The sequence below is a fragment of the Homo sapiens genome, chromosome 8 (genome assembly GCF_000001405.40).
Source record: "Homo sapiens chromosome 8, GRCh38.p14 Primary Assembly".
Classification (NCBI taxonomy): domain Eukaryota; kingdom Metazoa; phylum Chordata; class Mammalia; order Primates; family Hominidae; genus Homo; species Homo sapiens.
In genome coordinates, this window is record NC_000008.11 from 144,525,224 (window position 1) to 144,530,639 (window position 5,416).

Here is a 5,416-nt window from a genome sequence, read left to right on the forward strand (position 1 = left end):
TGGTGTCCTCAGTGTCTTCACAGGATGTGACCATGTAGGGAGAGCCACCCAACCCTGTCACCTTCTCCTTCTCCACCCATGCCCAGCAGGTCAGGAGCTTCCTGCTCAGGACGTGGATGTGTGTCGCTTGCTGCCCCCGACTCTACCCCCAGGCAAGTGGCTGCTGCTTGGTTCTAGGGTGCAAGAAGCTGGAAGTACAGGGTATGGCTTGAGAACTTTGCTTAGGTGACAAAGCCCGGGGTCCCATTACCCAAGCATGGCTAGGAGGGGGAGAGCAGGCCCTGGGCAGACACGCCTCCTTGTTATCCTGTGGGGGCCTGGGCAGAGCTGGCCTCAGAGGAGCTACGAGCCCCAGGGAAGTCAAGGCACAGCTTTGTCCAGCACCTGCTCCTGCTGGCCTAGGGGTGGGACCAGCTTAACTAGAATTGGGCCTTTTTCTCAGGTAACCTGTCAGAGAATTGGGGGATGAGAAAAATAATAGGAAATTCGGTTCAGGAGCCATGGGTCTGTGCTTCCCATGCCGGTCCCCAGAAAGGTGTCCTGTCTTTGGGGATAGATGGGGCCCTGGGAAAGCTGGGGTGGGACAGGGGACGCCTTGGGCCACCAACTGGGTTTCTGGTGTGGCTTCCCAAGTGGGCTCTGGGAGCAGTGTGACCTCTGAGATCAGCAAGGAGCAGGGAGTTTGCTGGGGGACCATATACATGTACTTGTCGTAAAGAAATGGGAAGGCTGGGGTCTGGTTTCAGGAACAAGGAGCCCAGTTTTAAAAGTAGGGATCTGGGCTAAGCCAGCCAGCCCACCCGAAGCCAGGGAAAACAGGGCTGCAGGTGTCCTGTCTCCCAGCCTCATCTGGCCGGCCTCCCCAAACATTTGCCTGTCCATCAGCTCTTCCTCCTTTCGAGTCATGTGGAAAGGGACAGGACCAAGTGGCCTTGGTGTTTAAATCTTGCCCTAAATTGTAACTCACATGATTATTTAAAGTCACTAGAAATAAGTAAGCACAGCAATAAAGTTTTAATGGAATAGCTTTGGCCCAGGCAGAGGCAGTTCCCAGATGTCTCAGGACGCGTGTGAACCCCAAGAAGTTGGGGGCGTTATCTGGGCCCTTGGGATCCATTCCCCTGGGTATAAAGTGTTGGTACGTGGCTCCAGGCCTGGCCCACTCAGCCTCCCCCAGGAAGGCTTCTCAAGTGGAGAAGGTTCTTGGCCTCAGAACTCACGGCGCTGCTGCTCACGCTGACCCCCCACTAGATGCAGATCGGTGTAGAAAGGCCTGCCAGGGCAGGGATGAGGGCCCCAAGCTGGAAGCAGCCCAGAAATCCTTTTACCAGAGGACAACTCCCTAATCCGCTGGGCAGGGGCGGGGTGTCACACGCAGGATTCCGCGACGACTGTCACTGCCTCCTGGGCGCCCCTCTGTGCGGGAGCGGGGAGGGAAGAGGATGGAACGCCCTGTGTCTGCCTCGGGCGCAGTGCGAGGCCCAAGCTGGTCTTTGGGCGGCCCTTGCGCACCTCTGCAGCGCTGCGACCTGGTGCCTGTATCCCCCACGGCCTCCTCTGCTACCCACGAGAGCCGGTTGATTTTCGGCCGGGCTCAGGGAGGGCGTGGCCTCCGCGTTCCCCATCCCCCTCCAGGACCCACGCCCTTCTCGGAGCGCACCAGGGTCAGAGCCGGGATGGTCCCCGATCCCCCAGCGCCCCCACGCCTGGTGACCTTGGGTCGGGCGTCCCCTCACCTGACGCTCCCGCGGCGAGCGGCTCCCCCGCCGTGCAGGTGGCGGCCGGGCCCGAGCAGTCGCCGGGCTGGGAGGGGGCGGGGGACGCTCGCGCACGCGCACCAGAGCCCCGCGCCCGCCGCCAGTGCCTGACGTCTCGAGCGCAGGCCAATCCGGAGGGCGCCGGAGTCGGGTGCGCGGGGGGCGCGCGCCGTGGGGAGCGGGGTGTCCGGGAGGGCCGGGCCGCGGCAGCACCAAGGACAGCGCCGGGTGGGGGCGGGGCCGAGCGCGCAGGCGCACTAGGCTGCCGCGAGCGCGGGTGGCGCGGGCTTTCCGGGGCGTGGAGTCCCGGGGGAGCGGGGCGAGAGGCGCCCGCGGCCTCCCGCCTTTCCCTTGGCCCCGCTCAGGGCGACCGAGCCGCGAGCAGCAGCGGGGCCAGGTCCATGGTGAGGGCGAGGCGGCGGCCCTGCCAGCGCACGTGCGAGGGCAGCGCAGGCGCGCCGGGCCCGTACTCGAAGCAGGCGCTGAGCTCGAAGGCCAGGGCGGAGCGCACCAGGCCCACGCCGCCCGCACGCTCCGGCGCCGGGTGGTACAGGCGCCCGTTGGCGGCCAGGGGCAGCAGGCGCGCCGGCTCGAAGGGCACGGCCAGGGCCTCGCCACCGCCGCAGTAGGAGAGGCGCGGAGGCCCGTGGTCCGCGGTCAGCAGGTGCGTGAAGACCACCGGCCGGTCCTCGCAGCGCAGGAAGTTGCGCTCTCTGCCGCAGGGCGAGAGGAAGGGGAAAGCGGCCTCGTAGCGCCCGCTGCGGTTGGGTCTCAGGCGGGAGAAGAAGGTGACCAGGAACTGCGGGTCTGGGGGATGAAGGGTGCGTGTACTCAGCGCGCTGGGCTCCCAAGGCCTCCGGGCCCAGGACCATACCGAGGGCAGGCGCCGACGGTAAGAGGTTCGCCTGGCCTCACTCAGCGGGGCTCCTGAGCGCAGGACGCCCACTCCTTGGTGCGCTGGGCCCGTCGGCAGAGTCGGGGAGCCCATCAGGGGCTGCCCGGAAGGGAGAAAGAAGGGGCTGGAGAGGGAGGCACAGCATTACCTTTGAAGCAGGTGATGAAATTCTTCATTTTGGAATCATCCAGGAAAAGCTGCAGATAGAGGGCCAGGCCGTGATAAGTCCCAGCGTGCAGGTGGGGGCGGGGAAGCTCAGGAGGTCCTGAAGCTCGGGAGGTCCTGAACCGGCCCGAGCCCACTTTTCCTGCTTGTCTGTGCACACCGCATGCAGGGAGGCGCGTGAAAGGTAAACCTGGGGGCCCCGCCGACTTATCCGCGTCTATGCGCACCTCTGCTCCCTGGTCAGCCAATTCTTTCCCGCACCTTTTCCCTCTTTTCAAGTTTGTAATCAGTTGTACCACCTCCTCCGCGGAGACTACCTGGCCTGCTGCCTCCCGGACATGCAGCTGCCTTTTGACAGGGCTTCCAAAAAAAGGCAGGGCGGCCCGGGTGTCTCCCTGGCAGCGGCGAGAAGTCAGCGCCGGGGCTGGGGACTTGTAGGACAGAGTCCGAAGCTGCACAACGCAGCAGGGACGCGGCCCATGTAGGAGCCTCGGCCCGGACCGACCCAACTCCCCGTCTTTCCAGCGCGCTCTCCTCCAGCTCTGAGGAGTCGAGGTTGCCCACCGCGCAGGCCCCGCCCACCCACCCACCCCCTGGAACGTCCCTCCGGCCCCGCCCCTCGAGCAATGGTCCCGCCCACAGAGCCACGCCCCCCCCCCCGCCCCGCCCAGAGACCTCTCCCGGCCCCGCCTCTCGAGCAACGGCCCTGCCCCCGCCCACCTGGCCCTGGTGGTCCACGTAGTAGAAATACTCGCGGGTCCGCGGCTCCGGACTCTGGCCCTGCGTGTAGGAAACGCCCCCATCCCCGCTGCAGGCCCGGGCTCCCCGCGACCGCGCCAAGGCCAGGGTCCGGAGCGTCCCGCAAGGCGGCCACATTCTCCTCCCGCGCCGGAAGCGACCAGCAGGTCACGCCGGGGGCGGTGCTGCGCGAACTCGCGCCTGCCCGCAGTAGCCCCGCGCTTCGCGTTCCGGCGGCGCCCGCCTCCGCGACCCGGGCCCGGCGCTCTTCCCTCTCCCTCGGGCCTCGGGGGCTCGCCCGCCCTGGCCTTCCGAGAGGCGTGTGCCGGTGACGCCCCTTCCGGTCCGCCCCGCGTCTCTTCCCGCCCCCGGCCGCGCCCACAAGGAACGGGAGGACGCGCAGGGTCCATGTGCACTTTATTCACTCGTGTCGTCGCCTCTCGGGTCCATGCGTCGGGGCGAGCGTCTCAGCCGGGCGGGACCGCAAAGGCCCCGGGACCACCCGACTGAGGACGCCGCCCAGGCCTCGGCAGGGCTGGGGCTTTTGTTTTTAATAAATAAAAACGGAACTCTAAAAAATATATATATAAAAACTGGGGAGAAATTAAGTTTTACAACAATTGGAACTCAAAATTCCAAAATGGAAAATGTACAAACTCGGTCCCCCAGCAGCTCTGGCCCCGAGAACGGACAGTCCCGGGCCCGGCGCCTTCCCGCTCGCTCGTCTCCTGCAGGTCTGGGATGGGGATGGGGTAGAGCTTGGTTTTTGGTCAGAAGCCAAGAAAAAAGATCGGAGAAGAAAAGAAGGAATGACCTCAACTTGCTCTGCACGGAGGACGGGGACGGCTCAGAGATAAATAGCATTTAGGTTAAAACTATGTCATTAGCAAATTTAGTTCTTATATCTTTCCCTCTATTTATATCTCTATACACGGTGGGCTGCGATGCAGGATAGATTCTGGATTTACAGTTACACGAAGAAAAAAATACTCTCGCCCCTCCCCCACCCTGCCCCCAGAATGCCTGCCCAGCCCTGCTCCCTACCCCAGAGGACTTTGGTTTGGGGGCCCCCACCCCACCCACCGAGAGCCTGCCAGGCCCCGGGCCCACTGTCCTGGAGCCCCCAAACTCCTGAGCAGTCACCAGCTGGGGACCACGGGCCGAGGGAGGGAGAGGAGGCGGGGACAGGTCGGGAAGCTCTCTCGGGGCTGGGAAGAGCTGCAGGCCAGGACGAGGACAGGAGAAAGGGAAGGAGAGACCGGGGCGGCTGGGCAAGGCCCAGGCCAGGGCGCGCAGGAGCCACAGGGAGGCAGCCCGGCCCCAAGGAGGCAGCGTCGCTCGGCTCCAGGACACAGAAGGCACTTTCTCGGAGCTGACCCGCGGCCAGCGGAGGGCGAGGCGGTGCCCGCGGGAACTGGCCGTGAGGTGGGGGGCCAGAGGCGCCCTCCCCGCCGCTGCTGTGCCCTGGCTGCACCCTCAGACCAGGCAGAAGACGTGGGGAGCGCCGGGGCCAGGGGCCTGGGGGAGTGGAGGGGGCTCCAGGGCTGGGCCGGGCGATTCTGGCCCCTCTGCCGGGAGAGCGAGTGCGGAGTTCGGCCTGGCTGGGGGCGGCAGGACATCCCTCCTGTCCCCGGGCGCCCCCGCTACAGCACACCCTCCATGAAGCTGGTGTCCAGGTGCTGGATGAGCACCCGCAGGAAGGACATCTCCTTGCGGGTGTTCTCGAAGATGACGCGCGGGTCGTCGGACTGGCAGCGCAAGCAGTTGGGCGCCATCACCATGGCCAGGTTGCTGACATCCATCTTGGTGACCGCGACGTTGGCCGGCTGCACGAAGACCTGGTGGAGGAGCGAGGGTGGGC

At 65.4% G+C, this 5,416-nt stretch overlaps 3 protein-coding genes across 8 annotated transcripts in view, besides 10 other annotated features; all 3 read right to left on the bottom strand.

Annotated features, from left to right (window-relative positions):
• Positions 1–90: part of an enhancer, noted in NCBI's record as "H3K27ac-H3K4me1 hESC enhancer chr8:145750035-145750697 (GRCh37/hg19 assembly coordinates)", that runs on past the window's edge. NCBI's record gives its function as "activates a minimal SCP1, AML or CMV promoter by ChIP-STARR-seq in naive H9 embryonic stem cells {active_cell/tissue: H9 hESC(naive)}" and the evidence as "EXISTENCE:reporter gene assay evidence [ECO:0000049][PMID:30033119]".
• LRRC24 (leucine rich repeat containing 24) overlaps positions 1–1,810 on the bottom strand; it is a 4,646-nt gene extending 2,836 nt beyond the window's left edge. The window contains exon 1 of the mRNA NM_001024678.4: positions 1,737–1,810. The gene's annotated coding sequence lies outside the window, so the exon portion shown is untranslated. The remainder of the gene's footprint in view (positions 1–1,736) is intronic.
• Positions 510–3,888, bottom strand: C8orf82 (chromosome 8 open reading frame 82). The gene is made up of 3 exons (NM_001001795.2): positions 3,538–3,888; positions 2,801–2,849; positions 510–2,564 (listed from the first exon to the last, which is right to left on the bottom strand). Exons 1-3 carry the CDS (start codon positions 3,691–3,693, stop codon positions 2,119–2,121), a joined length of 651 nt encoding a protein of 216 aa, NP_001001795.1. The 5' UTR covers positions 3,694–3,888; the 3' UTR covers positions 510–2,118.
• Positions 823–1,679: an enhancer, noted in NCBI's record as "H3K4me1 hESC enhancer chr8:145751430-145752286 (GRCh37/hg19 assembly coordinates)". NCBI's record gives its function as "activates a minimal SCP1, AML or CMV promoter by ChIP-STARR-seq in primed H9 embryonic stem cells {active_cell/tissue: H9 hESC(primed)}" and the evidence as "EXISTENCE:reporter gene assay evidence [ECO:0000049][PMID:30033119]".
• Positions 823–1,994: a biological region, named in NCBI's record as "H3K4me1 hESC enhancer GRCh37_chr8:145751430-145752286".
• Positions 1,605–1,994: a silencer, noted in NCBI's record as "silent region_19704". NCBI's record gives its function as "represses an Ori minimal core promoter by ATAC-STARR-seq in GM12878 lymphoblastoid cells {active_cell/tissue: GM12878}" and the evidence as "EXISTENCE:reporter gene assay evidence [ECO:0000049][PMID:35858748]".
• Positions 2,537–3,393: an enhancer, noted in NCBI's record as "H3K27ac-H3K4me1 hESC enhancer chr8:145753144-145754000 (GRCh37/hg19 assembly coordinates)". NCBI's record gives its function as "activates a minimal SCP1, AML or CMV promoter by ChIP-STARR-seq in naive H9 embryonic stem cells {active_cell/tissue: H9 hESC(naive)}" and the evidence as "EXISTENCE:reporter gene assay evidence [ECO:0000049][PMID:30033119]".
• Positions 2,537–3,423: a biological region, named in NCBI's record as "Sharpr-MPRA regulatory region 11949".
• Positions 3,122–3,416: a silencer, noted in NCBI's record as "tiled region #11949; HepG2 Repressive non-DNase unmatched - State 1:Tss, and K562 Repressive DNase matched - State 4:PromP". NCBI's record gives its function as "represses a minimal TATA promoter and a strong SV40 promoter by Sharpr-MPRA in HepG2 and K562 cells {active_cell/tissue: HepG2 | K562}" and the evidence as "EXISTENCE:reporter gene assay evidence [ECO:0000049][PMID:27701403]".
• Positions 3,374–3,423: a silencer, noted in NCBI's record as "silent region_19705". NCBI's record gives its function as "represses an Ori minimal core promoter by ATAC-STARR-seq in GM12878 lymphoblastoid cells {active_cell/tissue: GM12878}" and the evidence as "EXISTENCE:reporter gene assay evidence [ECO:0000049][PMID:35858748]".
• Positions 3,434–4,023: a silencer, noted in NCBI's record as "silent region_19706". NCBI's record gives its function as "represses an Ori minimal core promoter by ATAC-STARR-seq in GM12878 lymphoblastoid cells {active_cell/tissue: GM12878}" and the evidence as "EXISTENCE:reporter gene assay evidence [ECO:0000049][PMID:35858748]".
• Positions 3,956–5,416, bottom strand: part of ARHGAP39 (Rho GTPase activating protein 39) — a 171,184-nt gene continuing 169,723 nt past the window's right edge. For all 6 annotated transcript variants that reach the window (XM_011517308.2, NM_001308208.2, NM_025251.3 and 3 more), the window contains one exon: positions 3,956–5,393. In XM_011517308.2, the coding sequence (XP_011515610.1) occupies positions 5,199–5,393 (195 nt within the window). In that variant the 3' untranslated portion in view covers positions 3,956–5,198. The remainder of the gene's footprint in view (positions 5,394–5,416) is intronic.
• Positions 4,755–4,854: a silencer, noted in NCBI's record as "silent region_19707". NCBI's record gives its function as "represses an Ori minimal core promoter by ATAC-STARR-seq in GM12878 lymphoblastoid cells {active_cell/tissue: GM12878}" and the evidence as "EXISTENCE:reporter gene assay evidence [ECO:0000049][PMID:35858748]".